Source organism: Homo sapiens, chromosome 5 (assembly GCF_000001405.40).
Source record: "Homo sapiens chromosome 5, GRCh38.p14 Primary Assembly".
NCBI lineage: Eukaryota > Metazoa > Chordata > Mammalia > Primates > Hominidae > Homo > Homo sapiens.
In genome coordinates this window covers 87314467-87342266 of record NC_000005.10, presented here as the reverse complement: position 1 = coordinate 87342266, position 27800 = coordinate 87314467, and the positions used below count along the sequence as shown (strand labels likewise).

The window sequence follows — 27800 nt, the reverse complement described above, 5'->3', positions numbered from 1 at the left end:
AATCGTTTGAATCCAGGAGGCAGGGGTTGCAGTGAGCAGAGATCGTGCCATTGCACTCCAGCCTGGGCAACAGAGCAAGACTCTGTCTCAAAAAAAAAAAAAAAGAAAAAATAACAAAAAAGAATTTGAAACTCCTGATATAGGTAGAGAGGAGACTTCAAACTAATACAAACAGCAGGGTACAGTCTCACTAATGGAATCTATTTTGTAGCTACAAGAAACAATAAAAATGAACTCAGAATATATCTTACATATTCCACTTACAGAAGGGTGAAGCATTAAACAAGGTGACTGCAAATGGAGTAGTCAGTTGAATGTTTTTATATTCTAATGGTTAGAAAACAGAAAAAGCAAACACTTGAGGCAAGCCTCAAGTTCCATCCCTAAATGCTGAAAGATAAGAAAAAATGTTGTACTGAAAAGATATTAGGAGATGAATAGTCTATTAAAATGTGAGTAAGAGAGAATTGGGATTAATGGTTCAGATCTTCAAAAGAAAACTTACATATACATAAAATCAGTCTGAAGATTATGAAAAAAAAAGACCTTGCTGAATCTTATTAAAATTGTGAAGAACCGTTATTTTGGGGGGATAAAAGATGTGGCTATAAAACAAGAAATACTATGAATAACCAAGAAATACTATGAATAATTTTAAAATGTGCCAAATTGTGACATTCATAATGTTATAAATGTAGTGTTTATTCAAAGTCTTCAGTGTGGTGATAAAAAGAGTTATATTTAGTTATCAGCTACCTTTTATTTAAAAACAAGACTTTATCACTAGATCCTTAAGAAAATATTTAGAAATCAGTTCCCTAAGCCAAATTTAAAAGTTAAGTCAGTCCAAAACCTTAAAAAACAATTTTTTTGGCCAAAGTTTTCCAATTAGTAAATTTACAATATAGATTTTTTTTTTCATTTTAATAATTAACACAAACTCACATTTTTCCTTCATGTGGATCTTCTTCCCGGCCCTAAAGGGAAGACATTAAGACAGTATTTTATATAATTAACTATTAATCAATTTTTATTAAAATTCATGAAAATCGTATCTGCAAACATATCCCCACACTATCCTTATTTATGTTTATATAAAAAAAGATGTTTCTGTTCAGTAAATATCTTTCCAAACCTCTCTTAATCTTTTCTTGTTGCCATTACCCTAACTCAGGCCCTCTTATCGACTTTTCTTAAACAACAGCCCAACTAATATAATTATGTCCTACTCCACCACTCTAATCTGGATACATCAGTTTCAACAGCAGCTGTGCCCTACATTAAGAAAAACCAAACAAAAAAAAAACACCTCTCTACTGCCTACAAATTTCTCATTCTGCAACTGAAGTCGTTTACCACAGGACTCAAGTCTACATTTCCTGTCTCATACTACCAATTGTTTTTTGGTTCCTATACCATGGTCACACATAACTTCCTATTTGCCAATCTCCCACCACTGTAGCTTGTACTTTTTGTTCTTAGAATGTACTTTCCACTTTTTGCTTTCTACTTGTTAGATAAATACCTAACCAATCTGGGAAGGAACTATCTCAAATGCTACCTCTTCAGTAAGACATTCTGAGCCCGTAAAAAGTGAACATCAACTTCTACTTTCAATATAAAAGACATCCCCCTTTTACTATGTTTTGAACTTTATTTTATTCTATATTCCTCTGATTTAAGATACAATAGTGTTACTCATTCCACTATTATGGAGAAAAATGGTCTAACTACATGTGGATTTACTTCTCACAATTTGGTCCTCACTCATTAAATACCTAATCAAACTAAAATCAAACACTCACTGAATGTTACTATATCCAAGGGAGTAGGCTTAAAAAAAAAAACTATAAAAATGAATAGCATTATCATTGTGTCACTGCCCAAAAGGAGTTAATCTCTTGTAGAAGAGTTTTACACAATTATTAATTTTAGACAGTGTAACAGAATGCAGAATTAGCAAGGTGCTATGGAAATACAGAAGGAAACAATTTTGCCTAAGAGACTCCAGAAAGGCATAAATCCTCTGTGAAACAGGGATGACATATGAACTGAGCTCATAAAGATGAATCAAATTTTACAAGGCAATCTATCAGGGCAAGAATGTCAAGGAAGAGGGAAAACTATAAACATAGAAACATTCATTTACTCAACAAACATTTTCTGAATGCCTACTAATGCCAGACACTATTCTAGGCAATGGTAATACATCAGTGAATCAGAGACAAAAATCCCTCCCCTCAGAGAGCATACATTCTAGAGTTAATACATGAAAGTATAAATGTGTTTGGGGAACTGTAATTAGAATTTTAGAAGGAGAAATTCCTTAAATCTAACCACTAACTGAATGCCCGAAACATCTTCACAGACTAGACAATGTCCAAATGGTTTTTCAATCTACAAAGAATTCACTACCCTCTAATAAAGCCCATCATGAAAGTTATTCTACATATTGGAGTGAAAATTGTTTATAAATGACGTGGAATTACTCCACTATTAATTTATAATGTTACTATATTCATTTTTAGCAACCACATCACATTATTCACTCATACTGAGTTGCTAACTTTTTCCTTGATCCCTTGTACTGATGTGAGGTCATGTCTCCTTATTCTGGTTTGGGTTGTTATTATTATTTTTCTGTATACATTGAGTAATTTTCACTTTTCTTTAAAGGTTATCTTGTTAAATTTGATCCAGAATTCCAAGAGCTCAAGAAAAGTTCAACTATAGTGCAATTTCTTGAAGTAATCAGGATGGAGAAGATGGTGGTACAGCAAGGAGAGGGAAACCCAAACTAAAAGTTGTAACTAACAAATTTTATAGGAAAACTATCATAGTAAGATGCTTCAGTACGAATACTGTTTGCCTATATGGAGTAAATATCTCTTTTACTGTAGAATACAGAATACTAATCTAGGAATTAGGAGTCCTAATCCTAGCTCTTTCACTAAATAACTATATGACTATGAGTATGGACTGTATCACACCATTTCCTCAACTTTTCCCACCTCTACTCAGTATGTTTTACTTCTATGGATCAAGATTTGGTTGCCAGAATAGGCAGGTAAGAGAATTAATAGGAAAAAACAATATTCTCCACTGCAGTCTTCCAGGAGCAATACTCTTCAGAATATTATCAGGTCTGTGGCATAATTTAAAAACAGTAGCTTTGAAGGCTGTAAAAGACAACAGAAAGCCACTCCATCTCACTAGAAAAATCCGAAAGGAAAGGGAGAATTCCAAAGTTATAATGTACAATATATTTGATACTGAGTATTGTCTCTGAAATATAAAAGCCATTCAAATGCTGACCTGTTATTAAAAATGCACCTGGTAATTGATACCATGATAACGTATTATATGATGGAAACAAAAACAAGGACGAGATTCAAAATGTAGAACCATGTGATAATATATGTATAATATAAATGAATTCTTCCAAGTTTACTGGAAAATTATATATATATTTGAAAGATAAAGAATCTAAAACCAAACATGTGTAACCAGTTGAGGTTTCATGATCAGACTGATATAACTTCACTTATGAGGAAGAAAAGGACGGCAAAAAAAAGAACAAAAATAAGCACAAATAGGCCGGGCACTGTGGCTCATGCCTGTCATCCCAGTACTTTGGGAGGCTAAGGCGGGTGGAACACTTGAGGTCAGGCGTTTGAGACCAGCCTGGCCAACATGGTAAAACCCCATTTCTACTTAAAAAAAAAAAAAATTTTATATATATATATATATATATATATATATATAAAATTAGCTGGGCATGGTGGCACATGTCTGTAATCCCAGCTAGCTGGGTGGCTGAGGCACGAGAAATGCTTGAACCTGGGAGGTGGAGGTTGCAGTGAGCCGAGATCACGCCACTGCACTCTAGCCTGGGTAACAGACCAAGACTCTGTCTCAAAAGAAAACACAAATGTTAATATATTTTTAATTCATAGAAAATCATACAAGCTTTCTGAATATTGGCAGCTATGTATTATAATATGCTAGCCTGATTATGTTCCATACTAACAAACAGCACTTATAATTCTTGTACTTATCAATTAAGTTCTTTTATAAAAGAAATGTATTCATAGCTACTTTCTCTGATTACGGACAAGATCCAAATTTATAAAATATTTAGAATCTAGAATTGAGAAGAAAAGAACAAAACTTACCACCTCTTCTACTAGGTCTTCAACAATAAGGCCTTGTTCATCTGTTCTTAAATTTGTAACCCACATCCATCCATCTTCTAATTCATTATGAACAATGAACATATCTCCTTTTAAGAAACTGAAAATAGCAATTTTAAAGTTATTAAATTTAAAAATTTTAAATACAGAGATTAGAATAGTCATATACCACAAAATAGGATAGGGATAGTATTATATTGAAAAATGTAAGGAATTAGAGTCAAACACCCTAAATTTGTATCCTATTTCTGGCATTATCCACATGTCAATTCCTGAAAATAATAAATAATCTGAATTTTAATTACCTCATGAGTAAAATGGGTTTGATAGTAGTATCTGCACTAACTATATCACTGAATTATTGTTAGATTCAAATTACAACTTCTGTTAACAGAAACTGATTGTACATATATTGAAGGTTTTGGGGTGTAACTACAAGAAAACTGAATTGAAAAACTTATGCTTCAATGTTATTACTCTTTCAGATGTAGGGTAGATATAAAATCAAAACACAAAATAAATATAATTAACACACTATACATACATAAGATATAGAGTTACTTCAGAAAATGTTTATTTTAGATAAGCATGATGTAGATGCTTATGTCAGTTAACATTTTTCTTATAAAAAAACCAGGGCTTGTTTAATTCACCCAGATACCCATTATCCAATGGGTACAGCATTCTTTCTCTGAAAGTGGTAGGTACCAAGGGATATATTATGAGAAAGGAATGTATGTTTTTTTTCTGTTACCAATTTAAGAGTACAGAGATGCATATACAACTTAGTTTCCTTTTACTGAAACCTAGATGTTTTCAACCTCCACACAATTATGGAAACAACAAGTTGCTGATGTATTTCATCAATATAAAACCATTAGTAATTCTTGAATTTGTCCTTTCAGGCTTAAAAGAATGCATCTGAATACAAAGTTTCCAGATTTGTTGGATGGTACCATTAACCCTGTATCTATAACTGTATTTGTCTTTTTTTCCAGCAATTTTCCTTTCAATCTTAATATTCACAAATCAAAATCTATTAAGTAAATTTAAGTAAATCTCTTCTCCTATCCTTGAAAGCTTTAACTGCTTTCTCTATGCTATCTCAAGCTTCATTGTATCTTGGACAATGTTTCAGACAACAGAACTTGTATTATACAACATTTAACTCAATATTTGAATAATCATAGAATATTGTATTCTATCTTGATTCTACAATCCTTCTTAATGATGGCCAATATTTCACTAGCTGAATGGCAGCAGACATTACCACTTAACCAATTAAACTATTCCTTTCTAGAACCACCTAAATAAGCACATTAAAGAAAATCATTATGAGTAAAAGGAGGGTGCACATGAACTGGTAAATTTCATTTCTTAGTTAAAAGTAGCCATAAGAGATATTTCTAATTTCAAGTTTCATTGTTGTTGCTATACCAACTTTTCATGGTGCAAAAACCAAAAAAAGTTTTAAATAAGCTTGTTAGTAGTAATACAATCTAATCATAACTCATTCTATATTATTTTGTGTTATCCCCCCTAAAACAGGCTAAAGTGCTTTATTAAATCATTAATTTTTAAGGTATTTTTATTTTAAAATCCACAGGTGTGTATAAACTTTTTAAAAGACTCATAAATCCAAATTTATATCATCAAAGTATTATTTAAATTCCCATCTTCCTAGATCAGCTATTTTTTTTTTCTTTTTGGTCTCCCAGGACCTCTTTACACTCTTAAAAATGACATCCTAAATGGCTTTTATTTATATGGATATCTACTGATATTTACCATATTCAAATTTAAAACAAATGTTTGAAAATATTCACTAATTCCTTTAAAAATAGCTCATTAAAAATATGAAAAAGATACTTTTACAAATTTAGTGAGAATATCACTGTTTTATAATTTTGCAAATCTCTTAATGCCTGGCTTAAATGAAAACTGCTGGAGTCCCATATCTGTTTCTGCATTAAATTTGCTGCTATATGATTTTTTTGCTTAAAACATATGAGGAAAATCTGGCTTCACCTAAGAATGTAGTTGTGAAAAGGATAAGTATTTTAATAGCCTTTTCTGATAATTATAGATATTCTATGAAATTACACCAAAAACTCAACGAGTGGTACTTTCTTGAAGGTTAGTTGTAATATGGAATCCAAAACTATTTATCAGTGAACTTTATGCATTCCAATAACATCTATTGGTCTATCTTGCACTTTAAATGAATCTTTTACCCATGCATAATTTTGTAACAACATGCGTTGACCTTTTAGAAAATATTAGTTCACTGAGCTATCTATATCTTCTAGTTGTTAACACATTATACACTATCAAAACCTCTCATTCTTGGCCAGCCACGATGGCTCATGCCTGCAATCCCAGCACTTTGGGAGGCCAAGGCGGGCAGATCACCCGAGGTCAGTAGTTCAAGACTACCCTGGCCAACATGGTGAAACCCCATCTCTACTAAAAATATCAAAATTAGCCAGGTGTGGTGGCAGACGCCCATAGTTCCAGCTACTCAGGAGGCTGAGGCAGGAGAATCGCTTGAACCCAGGTGGCGGAGGTTGCAGTGACCCAAGATGGCACCATTGCACTCCAGCCTGGGTGACAAGAGCGAAACTGTCACAAAAAAAAAAAAAAAAAAAAAAAAACCTCATTCTTTATTATCTTCACCTATCTCATCAGAAAAGTCATTATTTCAGAAGCTGTCAAACTCTTGATGGCCAATACAGAATGTCTAAAATTCAAATTTTTACTCAAAACTCAAATTTTGTCATTGGCAACAAACACTAAGTTTTCTTCCTTGAAATAATAGACTCACTCTGTTCTTCTTCAAAAAATGTCAAACATTCTCTCAAGTGAAAATGGTGTGCACAAAAGTAACAGCTAAGCCAGGTGCAGTGGCTCATGCCCATAATTCCAGCACTTTGGGAGGCCAAGGCGGGCAGATCACTTGAGGTCAAGAGTTCAAGACTGGCCTGGCCAACATGGCAAAACCCCATCTCTACTAAATTACAAAACTTAGCTGGACTTGGTGACACACGCCTGTAATTCCAGCTGCTCAGAAGACCGAGGCAAAGAATCCCTTGAACCCAGGAGGTGGAGATTGCAGTGAGGCAAGATCGTGCCACTGCACTCCAGCCTGGGTAACAGAGCAAGATTCTGTCTCAAAAAAAAAAAAGGAACAAACTAGTTCAGCTCTCAACTCACTGCTTTTCCTCATGACACTGATCCCTGGTACACAGCAGAAGTGTTTTATACATACTTCCCATTTCATCATACAGATTAAAGTTGTGTAGTCACAGGTTGAAATTCAATAAATATTTTTTACTCCCTCATCAACAACACTCTTCAATGAAACTGTCTTTAACTCTAAGTGTGTAACAGTGAAGAATACAGTACACTTTTGTGCCACAGCCTTGATTTCTATTAAGGCACCAGCAGTTTTACCATCCATTGCTTTTGTACCATCATTGTAAAATTTACAGTGAAAAAGGCAAGTTATGTCTTAGTATGTTATGAAAATAATCTGATCTCATGGACTGTGATGGCTAATTTTATGTGTCAACTTGGCTGGGCCATAGGGTTCCCAGATTAAACATTATATTTCTGGGTTTCTCTGTGAGGGTGTTTCTGGATAAGATTAGCATTTGAATCAGAGGACAGTATCCTGCCATCCCCAATGTGAGTGGGCATCATCCAATTCACTGAGGGTCTGAACAGAACAAAAAATGGAGGAGGAAGAAATTCATCCCTTTCTGCTGCCTTACTGGTTGAGCTGGGACATCTCATCTCATCTTCTCCTGCCCTCAGACTATGATTTACACCATAGGCTCCCCTGGTTCTCAGGTCTTCAGATGTAGACTGAATTATACCACTGGCTTTCTTGGGTTTTCAGATTGCAGACAGCCGATTGTGGGTCTTTACTGTCTCCATCTATCATTGTGTAAACCTATTCTCCGTAAAAAAATCTCCTCTAGAGAACACTGACTAATACATGAACCTTCTAAATGGATCTCAAAGATCCCCATAGTTACATGAAACACACTTACAGAACTGCTGTCCTAAATGATCCCACTAAAAATTTTTTAAAATTACCTAAATTCATAAATTTGTAATTCATCCCTGTTCTTCAATATATGCATTTTTTCCTTTGTCATTTATAGGCCTGTCCAGTTTACATTACAAATAAAAATGTGTCAGTAAGAATTAAATGAGAGAATTAATGGTAAGAAACAAAGTTTCCACTAGAAAATTAAATAGCTTATAGAAAGACACAGATAATCTGATTATCAAATTATATAATTATATAGAAATAAAACCACAAACTAACATGTTGCATAGTTCTATAACATTCCTAAGGTTTAAAATTATTCACCCATTACATAAAGTAGAAGCTTATCCTTTATAGCTGTGGCATAAATGTCACATGGTAACAAAAATTTACATAGCATATAGATTGAAGCAGAACTCTCCTTACTTTGTGAGAGACAGTGGAATAAAACCTAACTATTTCTCCTATCATATTCACTGAGGCCACCCTGATCCAAAACCACAGTCTGAACAAATAAGCCAACCCAGAGATACAGGACCAACAGACCCAATATCAAAAGCTCTTTCACCTTGCTGTATGCCATTTCTTCAAATTTCAAAAGCTTCCTAGTCCAAGAGTAATAAATCTTCGAAGTCTAGCTCTTTCAAATGCCTATACATGAGAATAGATTATAAAATACCTTATTTCATCAGTGTCTGGTACTTTTGTGTAAGGTAGAATAGCTCGTACACGCCTTCTATCTTCTACTGGCTAGAAACCATAAAAAAAAAAAGATTTAAAAAGATAGTCTTTTTATCTTAAAGTCAAAAGAGGTATATCCACATAAAGCCAATAAAAATTCACATTAGAAACTCCATGGGATCATTCAAATAAATTTTTACTTGGACTATAAATACCCAGTGCCTAGAAAGGCTTTTTTGTTGTTCCTGTTTTTATGAAAATCATATTTTAAATATAAGCAGTATGCTTTTATAACGTAATATGAATGATCATTTCATTTTAAATATACTACATGAAACATATACATTAACCTTTCATTGATGATACACAAGGCATTTCAGAATCTTGCAGCAAAGTCAGGGTTAATACTATGAAATCAGTAATTTGTTCCCATACATTCAGAAATATTTGTTAGGCTATCACCATACAGTATTTTCTTTTAATCTGGTTACTTAAATACAAAATTATTGAAAAATATTTTCTTTTTTTTTCAAAGAAGTTGTCCATTTTGTTCTGACATTATAACCCGAATTAAAATTTAATACAACAAATACTTCTTGAATTATAATAAACATAAGAAACTGAGCAATAGCTAAAACCATTATTGTACTGAAAAAATAAAGTTTTGAAAGATATTTTATTCATTTTACTTGCCTCTGGTGGTGCAACTGGGTAAAGTAATTTTTCTCCTTTAAGCAAACAAGAAACATGACTGTAATAACCTATTAGGTCTGACAGTGAAGAAAAACGTCTTCCACCAATGTAGTAATCTCCACACATAGCAATAATCCTATTTGAACAGGAAAAAATACAGTATAAAAAAATCTTTACAGCCAATTTTAAAAATCAAGTTTTATAAAGAAATTATAAATCCATAATTTCCATACTCTTTTCCTTGTAACTATATCCTTATACTAAAATACCACTTATTAGTATCTTCATCACAGTAAATTACTTGGGGCTATTTCTCTTACATATATATACATGCATTTGATGTGAAATACATATCAGGCTTATAAACCTCAATTACAGAATTCCATCAAATATCTGAAAACTCACCCTCAGATACCTCTTCTCACTTTCCATATTTAAGGCTGAATTAACAATTTAATAAGTTTTATATGGCTAAAAGGAGCTCACAGATCTCTTGCAATATTTACACAAAGTACAGTAATAATTTCACATACTACATGTGGTATCATGGTACTACTGAACCTTATTTTAAAATCTAAAAACCAAGGGTACACAAACATTTTATCATTTAACACTATATGCATTAGATGATTTTTTTCAATTTCTTCTATAAAAATGAAACAATACAATATGGGTAAATATGTTTATATATACAGAATATTTGTACTTGAAAATTTATATGTCTGTTTCACTGAAGTGCATGTCTGCGAAGAGTTTTAGAATAGTGAAGCTAAAATAAAGGACACAAAATTTGAGTTTTAAACAGGGTTTCCTACACTTTTTGTTATTCTGCAGTCTAAAAGTATACAATTCCTTTATTTTAGCCTTACCACTCAAAGTTTATTTGTAATTCTTTATACTTTAAAAACTATAAATATATTTGAGGATCAGCACAGTAATGCCCAACAATATTGTTTTTAAACAAAAAATGTAAACATTCAAAAGAATCTCTCTAAATCACTGATTAAATCATTTGACTGAAAACAAGCTTCCTTCTCTATTATTTGTTACTGAGTCATTCACCTTTATTATACAGGTATATTTATGAATATTATATCAAAATAGCTACATCATTTGGCTTCATAATAGGAATAAAGACTTACCTAAAATGGTTGACAACATTCATCTGGCTAAGAAATGAAAGTACAAAGGACCCTGGCCTCCGATCACTCTCTCTTATAAGATAACTGCCAGACTTCCCTGCCTGCCTGAGGCGTTCTTCTGCTATCGTTCTGTCAAGTTTTCCGTGATACCACCTAGGGGAAAAACAGAGAAGATATTACAATATAAATAGCAAGTGCAGAATTTCTATGGACACTTGAAAAACATACTACTAGAGGTTTTAAATGCCTACATGTAACTTAAACATTTACATTTTACTCTGAACCAGTTATTCCAATTTTAACTCAATTTAACCTCAGTCTCAAAAAATACTCATTTACTTGGTCTTTAATTTGTTCTAAAAGCTCAGTCCTAGTCATCTCATATATAAATCTCTTCCATTTCTACCCATCTCCCTACTTCCAGGATTGCCTGCTATTCAAAATATAAACACTACTGCAACCAGATCTTTACTTAGAAAAATAAAAGATAGACAAATGGAAATGATTAATTTACTACCTCGATCTTATACTGAGGAACCATGACTTCACAAGGCACATGGAACCTATGAGAATATAAAATGTTTTATTCCATTTTAGTGTTTGTGCCCTGCGACAGGAAAACAGAATTACACTGTCTAAAGGATGCTATTTTAATTTCCTGTTTGAACGTGAAGCTGATTAATCCCTTTGGCTCTAAGATAATCTACTCCATGACTATACATTTTACATTTGCACTCAACTTTCCAAATTTATGTAACAAACATGTGGGAGAATAAATAGCACCTTTGTCCCTTCACCCTTCTTGCTCTCAGTTTAACTGTGTTCTACCTACATACTATCAAATGATCTACTTAAGAAACTGGCTGTAACTCTAGCATACCAAGTATGCCTATAAAAGCCTCATGGACTGATATAAACAGAAACATGCTTAGAAATATACTAGAAGTATCATACAGGCATGGTAACAAATCTCCAAAGTAATTGCTATAAAATATTTTTACATTTGATAGTTTAGCCAAACTCATCCTTAGATACTTACAGCCTAATTTGAAACATCCAGAGAAAAACAATAAACATTCATATTACATTGATATATTCAATTATGTAACATAATATAGTACTTCAGCTTTACCAAAGTTTATTTGTAATCTTATATGTGTAATAATGTATGTATTTTATATAATATATAAGCCAATGATAAAAGCATTATGTTACTATGACTATTTTTGTAAGCTTGTTGTAATAAAAGCCCATTATTTTTGACTCCTTAATTTTTAAAAATAAAACAAAAACACAGAAACTTAAAACTTATGGAAAGAATTACTTTTAGTTTTCTTCTAAAACCAAGCTATTTATTTAGAGCCCTATGCATAAGGCTGAAAATAATGAACTTATTTATAGCGTTCCATTACGACTTAACAAACAAAATATAATTGTAACCTGTTAGTACTAGAGGAAGAAGGGAAAGAACAATCAATACTGCATTCCTCTAAAATCCTAATCTTAGTTCAGCCATTATCTTTGAGACAAATGACAAGTAAATTTAACTTTCAAGAGCTCAGGGACTTTTTAAATCTGAAATGGAAAGTTTACACCAGAGATCGTAAATGAACCCTAAGGAACTATAATTTAACGACATAAGAGAATAAAATTTTGAAATTTCAGGCTATGAGTTTATTTAGTTGTGAAAATATATGGGATATCCTTAGGTTATCCTTAGAATATGAAACTAGTGCATTCCTCATTACTTAAAGCAGTAGAACTATCCCAGAGAGCAGATTTATATACCCAACAAAGATAAAATTAAGGACAATTTTTAAAAATCTCTATTTTTATATACTTGTTATTTGTTAAATTTCTGTTATGTCTTAGGTAGTGTCAAGATGAAAAAGGTTTTTCTTTAATCTCCTTCATCTTTTGAACTTACCATTGAAATGATACACAGAGATACATGAGGCATTACACAATTACTACTTTATAAGAAATATCCAACTTATGATTTTAAGTAATATATATGTTTATTTGTGGTTTTTAGTTGTTTTTGTTTTGTTTTGTTTTAAGACGGGAGTCTCACTCTGTCGCCCAGGCTGGAGTACACTGGTACGATCTCAGCTCACTGCAACCCCCACCTCCCAGGCTCAACCCATCTTCCCACCACAGCCTCCCAAGTAGCCGAGACTGCAGACACATGCTACCACATCCAGCTTTTTTTTTTTTTTGGAGAGACAGAGTTTTGCCATGTCACCCAGGCTGGTCTCAAATTCCTGGACTCAAGTGATCTGCTCACCTCAGCCTTCCCAAGTGCTAGGATTACAGGTGTGAGCCACCACACCGAGTCGATTTTTTACATCTATGTACTTTCTAAGATCTGAGCATTAAAATGGATAAGTCAGTTCAGGAGAAAGACATTAATCTAAATAAGTAACTATTTCCTAAATGTTAGCAATTTCCTTCATGTCAAAAGGTCGTAAGCTTCAAACACATAAAGCAAAACATGTCAATTCTTGATTATGACTATAAACTGCAATTAAATTATCCAGCCATCAGCTTGTAAATATTTACTTAGTTGATTTGATCCTTAAATGTTTTATAAATAAATCACAATAAATCCAATGTTACAAGATTTGATTCAGACACCTTACAGATTTCTAGAACCTAAGTAAAATACTATATAACCTTTAAACACCAGTCCTTGGGTTTACTCAAAAACAGTATTTCTCAACCATTTTTTAACCCACAATCTTTTATATAAATATAAAAATTTTACCCTACTGAGAGATTCAGAGTCCCTAAGGTGGCTGTCCTGCATAGAGAATCATATATTCTAATTAGCCCCAGTAGCCAAGAAAATGCTGTCTACCTTAACTTTCTGAAGTCTGTAATTCTTTTTATTTCAGGTGGGATATGGCTTTACAAAACATACTCTCAATAACAAAGATATAACATTTCCCAAGAGTGAACACTTTGGGAGTGGTTATTTGTCTAAAATACTCAATTTTTAAAAATGCTACACTTTCTGCCTCTACAAATAGTCACAGCAATAAAATTACAAAGAAATACAAGAAAACATATTTAATCAACCCCACTATTACTCTTAAGTCTTCACAGTCAAAGCCTTATTATATCTCTTTAAAAGTAGATTTGCTGGTGACCGTTTTCAAATAAGTTTAAAAAAAAATTCAACTGGAATCTAGAATACCTCAAAGAAACATAAGCATAAGAATCATACTGGTGGTATGAGAATACTCTGAGTGTAACATGAGATTACTAAACAATAGCTCATCATCTAAGTTAAAGTTTATCAATCTGCTCACATTTGTGGCAATTATAACACAGAATATACCTGGCACATAGCAATAATAAGTTTTAAAAGTATTTGTCCAATGAAAGAAGAAGTGTTGACTCATAAAACAATGTTGAAAAATACTTTATAAGTCATCTAGTTAAACCACCATGCCAATGTAAAAAACAAAACAAAAACTTTTCTTTTTTAACGTCCACATAGGAAGTTCTCTCTCTTTTTTTTTTTTTTGGGAAACGGAGTCTTGCTCTGTTACCCAGGTTGGGGTGCAGTGCCATGCTCTTATGGCTCACTGCAACCTCCGCCTCCTGGGTTCAAGTGATTCTCCTGTCTCTGCCTCCCAAGTAGCTGGGATTACAGGTGTGTGCCACCACATCCGGCTAACTTTTGTATTTTTAGTAGAGACGGGGTTTCACCATGTTGGCCAGGCTGGTCCCGAGCTACTGACCTCAGGTAATCTGCCTGCCTCGGCCTCCCAAAGTGCTGAGATTACAGGTGTGAGCCACTGCACCCAGCCAAAAATTCTGACATGTGAAAAGAATGTGAAAACAGTTTAGGCTGACAGAACTCAAAGAAGTATGATTATGCTGACACTCCCTGAGCTTGTTCAAAAGAGACAATGCATACTAGCAGAAGACCAAGACTTAACAGAAACCCAAGAAACCTCCAATCTATGGCAATGCCACCCTAAACATACCAAATCTCGTCAGAAACTGTCTCCACAGTTACGGCCAAGTCTTTACATTTTTTATGTCGTTACCATCACTTGTAAATTAGGGAAATTAATTTCTATCTCAACCTCAGAATAAAATTAATGACTTGTACTAAATTCCTTTAAAGAAAAATACAAAAATGAAAAATACTACATAGGCTTTATAGTAGAACGGTTAAAAGACTCTAGAGTCACTGTCTTTGAATCCCAGCTCTGCCACCTAGCTGCGCAAATGTAGGCAGATTACTTTATCTCTGAGCCTCAGTTTCCTCATCTATAAAAGGAATATAATAGTGTCTACCTCAGAGAATGTTGGCTTAATATTATTATTAAATGAGCTAACACATATAAAGTTGCTTAGAAGAATACCTAATGGATACCAAGAACCCAGTAAATATTAGCTTAATTAATATCAAACCAGTATCACAGGGGAGTAGAGGATACTCAAAGGATATGGGACTGATTAATAAACTTCTTCAAAAAAACTAACAAATTTTATGACTGTTGCAAAATGGGTGATCAATCTGTGAATCATCTTAGTCTCAATTACCTATTTTCCAGTCTTGTTTACTTTCCATCTAATTTGGGGAAGAGAACAGGAGAAACCAATCTTTTTTTCTACTAAGGCATTAATTTTAGGAGGAAATTTTCTCAAAACTCTTTTTGAACATTATAGAGCATTCAAATTAATTGGGGCTGCAAGTGCCATACTATTAATAAACTAGAAATTCTATTTCACCTGGCAACTCTAGAAGGAAACCCCCAAAGAGCCCCCATTCTTTTCCCAATGTGTGTATATTTTGGGTGTTGGGGGCAATATAAAGGATAGTATGTACTTGAGATACTATGACTTAAAACTGCTTAATGTAACACATTAATAATAAAGCATTTAATGTTCTCCTATTTTAAAAGTAAATCTCCCTCTCTCTTCTTCTTTGCCTCTCTAAGGAAGATGGGGAAAAGGAATAGCAGGAGGAAATTCAAGAAGTACATACATGTCTTCCCAGCTAGCTTTGTAAATTTTTGTTGAGAAATCTTACAGGTAGATATGGAGTCCCTTAATTTCATTTTTTTAGAAATACAAATCAATTTACATACAATATCATACATCTAAGATGAAACTGCATGTTAAAAAAGTGAACAATTAAAAAAAGTCACAGAAATCACTCTATTTTAAATTTGGAATCACATGAACATTTTTTATAAATGTGTGCTGTGGCCAGGCGCAGTAGCTCCCAACTTTATAAACCAGCAATTTGGGAGGCTGAGGAGGGGACTGCTGGAACCCAGGAGTTCATGACCAACCCAGGCAATATGGCAAAACGCCATCTCTACAAAAAATACAAAAATTAGCCAGGCATGGTGGCACATACCTATGATCCCAGCTACTCGAGAGGCTGAGATGGGAGGATAGCTTAAGCCCGGGAAGTCAAGCCTGAAGTGAGACAAGATTGTGCCACTGCACTCTAGACTGGGCAACAGAGAGAGACCCTGTCACAGGGGAAATAAAAAAGGGGGTGGGGGGCTGCTGCATATTGCTGGAACACATCCGAAGGGCCTTAGAGGGGCCTTTGTGTTTTATAATCTGTCTCACTTGATCAGAGAAAAATATGGAAATTTGTGCAATGAGAAAATATCCTAGTGTGAATACAGACAGGCATTTCATTGAAACTATACAATTATTTACAACTAACTTGACAATCCCAAATGAAAACTGTCTACTACACAACAGAAAACCATTAAAACAGTGCTAACATCAATAGAGTTCCTTTTATAAAAAGAAAACTAAATTGAAGTTACCAGCAGATTACTTTTACTTTCCACTTGGTTTTTCCTTTTGGTTATATTACTGACAGGCACCAAAGTAGCTACAGAGAAACATACATGCAGAAATCCAATTGCCAAGAAATCTTTTGCATCTGAATCACTTGGGACTCTGTGTGCCTGATCATACTACAAACTTCTGAAGTTATTCTACAAGCCTCAAAATGCTAATCAGACTTTGTTACACACGCTTGTGTCTTCTAAAACTAAATTGGTGATTTCAAGTTGGTATGCATTTGCTAAAACATAAAAATCTTCTTAAGCTCCCATATTTATTTGTAACAAATATATTCTTACTGTCTGTGATATGGTTTGGCTGTGTCTCCACCCAAATCTCATCTTGAATTGTAGTTTCCATAATCCCCACATGTTGTGGGTGGGACCCGACCCGGTGGGAAGTAACTGAATTATGGGGGCAGTTACCCCCATGCTGCTGTTATTGTGATAGTGAGTTCTCACGAGATCTAATGGTTTTATAAGGGGCTTTTCCCCCTTTTGCTCAGTACTTCTCCTTGATGACACCATGTGAAGAAGGACATGTTTGCTTCCCCTTCCGCCATGATTGTAAGTTTCCTGAGGCCTCCCCAGCCCTGCGGAACTATGAGTCAATTAAGCCTCTTTCCTTTATAAGTGACCCCATCTCGGGTTTGTCTTTGTTAGCATCATGAGAATGAACTAATACAGTCTGCTAAAGGTTAAAAAAAAATAAAAAAATTAAAAAAGCAACTGATTTCTTAAAGTGAAGAGGAAAGTAAAGAAAATTTATCTCATACTAAGTGACTTTACTTGGCCTTTTTTTTCAAATCACTATGATAGAGACTAAAATTGGGTCACTGGTAAATTCACTTGAACAACCACTAGGCTAAGCAAAACAGCTGTAGTACCCCTTAGACCAACTACACATCACTTAAACTTGAGGAAGGGGAGAAGAGGGCGTGTTTATATTAGGTATTCTTGGGTATATTTGTATATAACCAGATAACTAGAGTGCATATGTATGTGTGTGTGCACATGCGTGCATGTGTGTATGTATTTATCTCAGATCAAGTTAGTTCAAAGTAAGGGCAGAAATGCTGTTTCCTTTTTCAACAGGTAACATATTTACAGAATCCAAGAGGTTTTAGTTTCGAGAGAGCATTTCTAAAGAAACAGCACTATCATACACTCTGTCCACCCAAAATTCACTAAAAGACTAACATACAAAAGGTTGAGAATACAAAGTTTACACTGAAATGCACTCAACCATGATTGTGAAGTTTTTACTACCTTTAACTCCCATCACCCTAGTAAACAGATAACGAAGGGAAGAAAAAAAACCACACCTCTCCAAGAAATGTTATGCACTGATCAAATGTTGAAAGAGAGGAGGAAAAGGGAGGGAAGGCTAGCACAATACCTACTAGCAGGAGGCTAGTATTAGTACCTACAGCACATTTTCAATCTCTTGTATCTGTGTTCTTTAAATCCTCAAAACAGTATCAATTCTTATAGTTGGGTTTTTCTTAGAACTTCAACAATTATAGTATCATACCATTCAGCACATGAAGATAAGAAATCACTACGTCTGAAGGTTAAAAGTAAACTTTAGTCTAACATTGTCTCTTATTTAGTTCATCTCCAACAAACTATGTGCCAAGCATTGTGCTACATGGTAGAATATAACAGTAAATACGACAGAACACCATGACAGGAAAGTTTAGGTTCTAGTGGAGAAGACAGACAAATTAAGCAACTGTAATCTGGTATAGTAAGTAGGAGGATACACAGGGATACAAAAAAATACCTGTCTCAGTCTTAGAATTTTAGCATACATTTCCTGAAAGAACTGATGGCTAAACTGAGACCTAAAAGATGAATGGCAACTGACTTGGAAAAAGTGAGGGACTGAGAAGGAAAGTGAGAAAAATATAACAGGCAGTGGGAAAAAGCACAGGCAAAAAAAAAAAGAATTGACTTATCAAAAGATATATAGCCATAACAATACCCTAAACATTCTTTACAATATACTTTACAAATCTAATTCCCACCAAATAAAATGGAAAGAATATAAGCTTATATGCAGACATGTTACCTTACTTGCTGAATACAGACATACTACCTTACTTATGGAATTTCTTTCAGTTCCTCAAACTGAAATATGCCTCAAAGAACATTTTAAAAGTTCAAAATATTCTCAGATCTGTCCTTTCATCTGGTATCAGCAATAACCCTATGAGCACAGGGCAGGGGAACAGGCATTATCCACTCTCTCCCTCAAAAGTTCTCCACAATATGCCCATTTTTCTACTATACATAGGCTTATATCCCAAACAAGTTACAATTATTCATTCAACAAAGATTTTTTTAAGCTCCTATTATGCGTTAGGCAATGTTTTAAGGCATTAGTTTTCTCCCTCTATGCTTTCTCAAAGTGTTTCTCCTATTTAACTTTTTTAAAAAAATAAGGGTGAAATATTACACAATTTACTCAAAAGTCATCCTAAAACTAAGGCATTTTCTACGTGCCTTTTCCTCAGAATTTTCCATTTCTGTATTTATTCACAGTCATGGAAATATCAGTTATCCATCAGCTCAAATTATAACCTCTATGAGAGCAATCCCCAAATTTCCCTCTCTAAATCTAACTTCCTTCCTAAACGCCAGGCTTAAATTAACAAAGCTCTCCCAAGAATCTTCACCTTAAGGTGAATATATCAACATCTTAAAAAATTAGCAAATATCTCCACAAACACACAGACACTCTCACACTTCTCTTCCTCTTTATTAATAACACCAGCATCCTTCCTAGTGTCCAGACCTGGAATTTCAAAAGCAACTTTGATTCCTTCTTGTGGTGTTATTTTATTTATGTATGTGGTTGTGTTTATATATCTATATTTTTAAAAATAGGTTTTCGTCCACAGTTCCTGGCTTATAACTCCCATAGCCCTTTGTGTTAGTCTGTCTTGAGACTGGGTAATTGGTAAAGAAAAGTGGTTTATTGCGGCTCATGGTTCTGCAGGACTATAGAGGAAGCATGGTGCTGGAATCTGCTTTCAGTGAGGCCTCAGGAAGCTTTTACTCATGGCAGAAGGCAAAGGGAGAGCTAGCACATCACATGACCAGAGAGAGCAAGAGAAGGGGGGAGGAGCCAGGCTCCTTTAAACCAGTAGTCCCCAACCTCCGGCACCAGGGACTGACTGATTTAGTGGAAGACAATTTTTCCACAGACAAGGGGTCAGGGAAGATGATTTCAGGATGAAACTGTTTCAGCTCAGATCATCAACCATTAGATTCTCATAAGGAGCACACAACCTATATCCCTCACGTGAGGAGTTCACAATAGGGTTTGCGCTCCTGTGAAAATCTAATGCTGCTGCTGATCTAAGCTCTGCTGATCAGAAGGTGGAGCTCAGACAGTAATGCTCGCTTGCCTGTGGCTCACACCTCCTGCTGTGTGGCCCAGCTCCTAACAGGCCATAGACAGGTACCGGTCCATGGAGTAGGGGTTGAGGACCCCTGCTTTAAACAACCAGCTCTCACTTGAACTCATTACCACAGGGGAGGGCAGCAAACCATTCATGAGGGATCCACCTTTATGATCCAAACACCCACCAGACCCCACTTCCAACAATGGAGGTCTCATTAAATACGAGATTTGGAGGGGACACACATTCAAGCTATATCACCCTTGTTATAGTCTTTTATTACAATGTTTGGTGTGTTAGGCCTCAGGAAACAATATCCCTGACCTTCTCCTGCCCTCCTTTCATCTGCACCAAGGCAGGACTCTAATTTTCCTCCACTTTTCTGACTGTGGGTCATAATGCCCTCATTTCAGAGAGGGTCCTATGGGGGGTCTTCCCATTGGGGAAAGTGCTGATGTCATGAAAATTCCATAAAAAACCAAAAGGACTGGCCTCACAGCTGAACATGTGAAGGTGGGCAAGAAGGTGAGCAAGAACTCATCCACTTGCTGGGAGAGTGGCATACCCTAACTCCACGGAAACAGAGGCTCCTACATTTGGGACCCTTCCAGACCTTGCCCTATGGCATCCAGACCTTGCCATATGGCTGTTTACTTGTATCCTTTAACATATCCTTCATAATAAACCAGTAAACGTGTTTCTCTGAGTTCTGTGAGTAACTCTAGCAAATTAATCCAACCCAAAGAGGGGGTTGTGGAAACCCCAACTCGAAGCCATCTGGTAGAAGTTCCAGAGATGCAGACTTACAACCAGTGGGAAGGAGGGCCCAGACCCCAAGACTGAGCCCTCAGCCGTTGGGAATCTGACACTATCTCTAGGTAGTGACAGAAATGAATTGAAAGCCAATTAGCTGGTGTTCACTGTAGAACTGATTGCTTATTTGGCAGGGAGAAATACTGTGCATTTGGACACAGAAGTCCTCTGTGTTGATTGTTGTGGTGTAAGAGCAGAGGAAAAACAATTTGGGAGTTTTTCCTAAACACTTCTTATCTTCCTAGACATAAAACTACTGCCAACTTGTATACTGCACCTCCAGTATCATTGAAATTATTCTCGTTTTCCATTCCTTCATTCATTACTACCCTCTCCATATCATACTGTTCCAACCCTTCCTACAACTAGGGAAAGATTTATCTCCCTAATAGGCTCTTTCTTCCTAAACCACAGGCTTAATCATTTCACTCTAATAGCTCAGAAGTGTACAAATTGCTATTCAATAACAAATAAAGCACAAACTATTCACCATGGCATTCAAAAGCCACCATGAAAGGCTCCAGCCTCCCTTCTAGCCAAATCAGACTATGTGTAACTCTACAAATACTACCTTGTTTTCACCTTGTCTTTTCACAATGCAGTCATCATTCAATTTTTGCTTGTCAAAACACTATGTTGAGTTACAGGGAAAAGTATACTTGCATAAAGCCATTTTTAATCCCCTTTAACTGAATACATTACCTCCCTCTGATATGGTTGCTCTGTATCCCTACCCAAATCTCATGTTGAACTGTTACTCCCAGTGTTGGGGGAGGGACCTGGTGGTAGGTGATTGAATCATGAAGGCAAATTTCCCCTTGCTGTTCTCGTGATAGTAAATTCCCGCAAGATCTGATGGTTTAAAAGTGTGTGGCGCTTCCCCACTTTACTCTCTCTGTCTCCTGTCACCATGTGAAGATGTTCTTGCTTCCCCTTTGCCTTCTGCCATGATTGTAAGTCTTCTGAGGCCTCTCCAGCCATGACTCCTGTACAGCCTACAGAACTGTGAGTCAATTAAACCTTTTCTTCATAAATTACCCAGTCTCAGGTAGTTCTTTGTAGCAGTATGAGAACAAGGTAATACAGAAAACTGGTACCAGAGAAGTGTGGCACTGCTATAAAGATACCTCAAAATGCAGAAGCAACTTTGGAACTGGGTAATAGGCAGAGGCTGGAACAGTTTGGAGAGATCAGAAGAAGACAGAAGATGTGGGAAAGTTTCAGACTTCCTAGAGACTTGCTCAATAATTGTAACCAAAATGCTGACAGTGATATGGACAGTGAAAATCCAGGCTGATGTGGTCTCAGATGGAGATGAGGAACTTATTGGGAACCAGAGTAACGGTCACTCTTGCTATGATTTAGCAGAGACTGGCAGCATTGTGCCCCTGCCCTAGAGATGTATGGAACTTTGAACTTGAGAGATGATTTAGGGTACCTGGCAGAAGAAATTTCTAAGCAGCAAAGCATTCAAGATGTGACCTGGTATTTTTCTAAAAGTATATGCTCATATGTATGAAGAGACGGTGTGAAATTGGAACTTATGTTTAAAAGGGAAGCAGAACATAAAAGTTTGGAAATTTTGCAGCCTCACCATGCTATAGAAAAGACAAACCCATTTTGGGGGGAGAAATTCAAGCCAGTGGTAGAAATTTACATAAATAACAAGAAGCCAAATGCTAATAGCCAAGACAATGGGGAAAATGTCTCCCAGGGCATGTCAGAGATCTTCATGGCTGCCCCTCCAGTACAGGCCTGGAGGTCTAAGAGGGAAAAATGGTTTCATGGGCCAGTCCCAGAGCCCTGCTGCTAACTGCATCCTTGGGACTTGGTGCCCCGCATCCCAGCCACTCCAGCTCCAGCTGTGGCTGTGGCTAAAAGGGGCCAATGTACAACTCGGGCCATGGCTTCAGAGGGTGCAAGCCACAAGCCTTGGTGGATTCCACATGGTGTTGGGTCTGTGGGTGCACAAAAGGCAAGAGAAGAGGTTTGGGAGCCTCCACCTTGATTTCAGAGGATGTATGGAAATGCCTGGATGTCCAGGCAGGACTCCGCTACAGGGCCAGAGTCCTCATGGAGACCCTCTACTAGGGCAGTGCAGAGGGGGAAATGTGGGACTGGAACCCTCACAGAGAGTCTCCACTAGGGCACTGCCTAATGGAGCTGTGGGAAGAGGGCCATCATCCTCCAGACCCCACAAGGGTAGATCCACTGACAGCTTGCACTGTGTGCCTGCAAAAGTTGCAGGCACTCAATGCCAGCCCATTAAAGCAGCTGTGGGGGCTGTATCCTGCAGAGCCATGGGGCAGAGCTGCCAAAGGCCTTAGGAGGCCACCCCTTGCATCAGCGTGCCCTGGATGTGAGACATGGAATCAAAGGATATGGGAGCTTGAAGATTTCATGACTTCCCTGTTGGGTTTCAGACTTGCATGGGGCCTGTAGCCCATTTGTTTTGGCTATTTCTCCCATTTGCAACAGGAACATTTACCCATTCCCTGTACTCTCATTGTACCTTGGAAGAAACTAACTTGTTTTTTATTTTACAGGCTCATAGGTGGAATGGACTTGCCTTGTCTCAGATAAGACTTTGGACTTTTCAGTTAATGCTGGAAGGAGTTAAGACTTTGGGGGACTGTTGGGAAGGCATGATTGTGTCTTGACATGTGAGAATAATATGAGATTTGGGAGAGGCTGGGGAGAATGATATGGTTTGGCTCTGTACCCCCATCCAAATCTCATGTTGAATTGTAATTCCCAGTGTTGGGAGGGGACCTGGTAGGAGGTGATTGGATCATGGGAGCAAATTTCCCCTTGCTGCTCTCGTGATAGTGAGTTCTCACAAGATCTGATGGTTTAAAAGTGTGTGGCACATTCCCCTTCACATGCTGTTTCTCCTGTCACTATGTGAAGATGTGCTTGCTTCCCCTTTGCCTTCTACCATGACTGTAAGATTCCTGAGGCCTCCCCCGCCATGCTTCCTGTACAGCCTGCAGAACTGAGTCAATTAAACATTGCTTCTTTATAAACTACCCAGTCTCAGGTAGTTATTTATAGCAGTGTGAAGACAAACTAATACACCCTCCTTTAAAATCCTCTGCATTTAGATATCAATCTTCCTCTATCTCATTGTACTTTTTTACATGTTCCCCTATACTGGCCATAAACTCCTCCTCTAACAGGCCAAATTTTGCTGATTTTTATATACCCTATAGCATTCTTAGTACAGTGCTTTGCATACAGTAGGGAATCCACAAATATTTGTGGGGGTTATAATAGAAGCTCAGGTAGAACTGTTCTCTGGATTTCTATATGATATATGAAAGCACGCTTCAAAATGCCAAGAACATTTTAGCCCAGCAATGAATCTCAACCTAATGGTAGTACCATTACTCTAAATATCCTTTAGAAAACTGTTTCATTACAACTATCTATTATAAAGGGGGGATATTTGAAAAGGCAAAGCTCTAAAAAAAATGGGAAAAAATGAGCTTAAGAGTGTGAGAAAAACGGCTGGGCGCGGTGGCTCAAGCCTGTAATTATAGAAATTTGGGATGCTGAGGTGGGCGGATTGCTTGAGCTCATGAGTTCAAGACCAGCCTGGGCAACATGGCAAAACCCTGTCTCTACAAAATGTACAAAAATTAGCTGAGTGTGGTGGTATGCGCCTGTAATCACAGCTACTCAGGAGGCTGAGGCATGAGAATTAATTGAACCCAGGTGGCCGAGGCTGCAGTGAGCTGAGATCGTGCCACTGCACTTCAGCCTGGGCAACAGAGCAAGATTCTGTCTCAAAAGAAAAAAAAAAAAAAGAGCATGAGAAAAACAGTCTTATTAGGGAAAAAGGTCATCTTTTCCTTAAAAACAGAAGAGACAAAAGATAGGTGGAAACACAATGTCTACAATCATAGAATGGCAAAAGAACAAATACACAGTTGCCTCACAGTAAAAAGTAGAGAAAATTATTTTAAGATGAAATATCTAGGATGGAAAAAGCTTTCAGATATCTAGTCTAATTCCTTAAGGTCACAAATAAGCAAAGTGATGAGTGAACTTGAAAATATGTAATTTTGATTCTCCCTATAAAGTAGTAATCGAGGCCATCTAATGAGGAAGAAGATAGGCCTTAAGCAGTGTGGTAAAATGGCAAAGCAGAGCAGCTAAGGGGAATTTATTAAAAGTCTGGAACGCACAAACAAAAGGACTGCAATAAGAGCACCATGTAATAAAAGTACAGATGAAGTTACCACAAATTTGTGGTATCCGCCAGGCGCAGTGGCTCACACCTGTAATCCCAGCACTTTGGGAGGTTAAGGCGGGCAGATCACATGAGGCCGGGAACTTAAGAACAGCCTGGCCAACAAGGTAAAACCCCAACTCTACTAAAAATACAAAAATTAGCTGGGTGTAGTGGCACACGCCTGTAATCCCAGCTACTCGGGAGTCTGAGGCATGAGAACTGCTTGAATCCAGGAGGTAGAGGTTGCAGTAAGCCGAGATTTCGCCACTGCACTCTGGCCTGGGCAACAGAGCAAGACTCTTTCTCCAAAAAAAAAAAAAATGTGGTATCCAAGTAGCAGAGTCAGGTGACTTTTCCCATAAACTCAGATTCTTGGCACTTTAGAGCCGCTTTAATTTCCAAAGCTCTTTTTCTCACATGCAAGAAGAAATCAGTGAGTCCACAAGTTACCAGAAAACAGCTTTGTATCTATAATTGTGAGAGGCTTTGACAGTTTATGTGCAGGAAGTTCCCCCAAAACAGGGATGCTGAGGCACAGGGTATTAAAAACAGATACAGGAAGGACCATGCAACTTCCTTACTCCCACTCTCCATGTTCTCAATCCTCAAGTCTCTGTGGGACAGGTCTAGAAATTTCAGAGAAGAAAGATATTTAGATAGTGGCAATCCTGACACATGAAATAAAATGCCATGAAATTTGAGGGAGAGAGGTAGAAAATTTAAGGATGAGAAAAATGAAGAAGAACCTTTGGTTGTGAAGTATTTTTGTGATTGTCCATTTAACTGTTTATCTACTGATAACCTGGGAATCGGAATAAGCTATCCATTACTGTCTTTTGAAAAGCTAATTATTTTTTCCGCAGCTATTTTTCCCATTTTTTAAAATGCATTCTGAAACCAACTGGCCCTCAATAAGATAACTATAGTAACCAGGCAAAGAAGGAATTATCTTCCAGGTACCATAGCAAGAACATCTTAGAGGGCACATCTATTACAGGCAACAGAAGCCAAGGCACAAGCTAACCATTCGTCATATTTGCTTTAAATTTATACTTGTAATTTGCTTTTTCAAACAAACAGATCTGGTCTCAGAGCATTCTAGCACAAAAAAGTTAAACATTAATAGTTCTGAAAATTATCCAAAAATGTGAGTTTAAAATGTATTATTTGGTATACAGATTTTAACATAGTGTCCATAATTTTTTTAATTTTAAGGAAATTACTAATAAATTGAATTACAAATTACTGAAGAAACCACAGAAAAATTTTTATTGCAATTCCAAATGACTTTCAATAATTAGAAAAAAGAATCAGCCTATATATCCATTTTTTGAAATTAAACTTTTTAAACCTGCAGTGTACTTTAAATCAACATTGTTTTTGAAGTAAAACAAATAACCATAATTCCTAGGAAGTATTTAATCTGCTTGATTACTAATATACAAAAATAATGGAAGCAGACTATTATTCGCAAGGTGCTACTTATTTAATAGCACATAAAATAATCTTGACAGCAGTTGTTCAACCCTCTCCCATATTAAACATTCTAATATGAGATTATTAAATAGTATTCTATATTTACTCTAGGTTGAGAGGGTCTCTGAAAAACCCAAAAGATAGCACACTTCTTTAAAAACACAAGATTTTTTTAAAAGGAAGCTGCTATGATTTGAATGTGCCCCCAAATTTCCTTTGTTAGAAACTTAATCCCCAAATTCATACATTGACAGTATTTGGTGGTAGGGCCTTTGTGAGGCCTACCTTTGTGAGGATTAGATAGGGTCATCAGGGTGGGGCAGGCCCCCATGATGGGATTGGTGGTTTTTATAAGAGAAGGAGAGACCTGAGCTGGCATTCTCCTGCCCTCTTACCATGTGACTACCTGCACTTTGTTATTATGTAGCTAGAAGGCCCTTGCTAGATGCCAACCCCCCTGCCCAGTCTTGGACTTCCCAGCATCCAAAATTGTAAGAAATAGTTTTTTAAAATAAATTACCAGTTTCAGATATTCTGCTGCAGTAATAGAAAATGGACTAAGACTGAAGTTTTTGCCTGTTAGCCATTAATAGAAGCTGTGTTGTAATTCTGTACTTCTTTATGAACATAGTGAATATGACAATCAGAATAATATATCCATTTTAATATAAAACTCTTTATACTTTACATAATTTGGAAACCACATTCTGCCTAGCTCCCAAATATAATGCCCTCAAAAAGGTGTAATATTCAAAAATGTTTTATTTAGGATCTCTGAAACAAACTTAAAGATGGGGGTGTCACTTATCTAATAATCTAGGTCACATATCTGTCATACTCATCCAGTATCACAATAAAGAACATTTAACAATGTAAATAATTCCTAACTCTCCCATCAACCTTAAAGACAGAATTGCATTTCCACCAGCAACTGGATCTTTCAATCTGGATATCTCAACTAACAACTAAAACTCAACACTTTTTTTTTTTAAATGACCATCATCATTCGTCCCACAGCCTTTCTCTTTACCTCTCCTCTCTCTCCTGTTTCTCATCTTTACTTGCCATTAACATCAATCCAGATACCCAAGCTATGAGCTGAACCATCTATTGCTGGTTTTTTTAAGACCAAAAAATTAAATACAATTCAACCTGATGGAAACTTCTCATCAGTATCTCTGACCTATTTCTCTACCTGTTTCCCTCATATCCAATCAGTCAAAAAGCCTTAACAATTCCACCTTCCTATGCTCTCTTCTTCCAT

The 27800-nt window shown here is 36.2% G+C and overlaps 2 protein-coding genes and 1 long non-coding RNA gene across 7 annotated transcripts in view; 2 read left to right on the top strand and 1 right to left on the bottom strand.

The window, feature by feature from the left end:
• The window catches only part of RASA1 (RAS p21 protein activator 1), a 124034-nt gene that overhangs the window by 49650 nt on the left and 46584 nt on the right, over window positions 1-27800 (bottom strand). For both annotated transcript variants that reach the window (NM_002890.3, NM_022650.3), the window contains exons 2-6: window positions 10767-10919; window positions 9625-9760; window positions 8930-9000; window positions 4176-4293; window positions 946-977 (exon numbers count right to left, since the gene is read on the bottom strand). In NM_002890.3, coding sequence (NP_002881.1) covers window positions 946-977; window positions 4176-4293; window positions 8930-9000; window positions 9625-9760; window positions 10767-10919 — 510 coding nt within the window. The remainder of the gene's footprint in view (window positions 1-945; window positions 978-4175; window positions 4294-8929; window positions 9001-9624; window positions 9761-10766; window positions 10920-27800) is intronic.
• Window positions 1-27800, top strand: part of CCNH (cyclin H) — a 101460-nt gene that overhangs the window by 70664 nt on the left and 2996 nt on the right. The window lies entirely within an intron of this gene.
• LOC644285 (uncharacterized) lies at window positions 18639-23852 on the top strand. The gene has a single exon (NR_130929.1). It is a non-coding gene; the product is annotated as an uncharacterized LOC644285 (long non-coding RNA).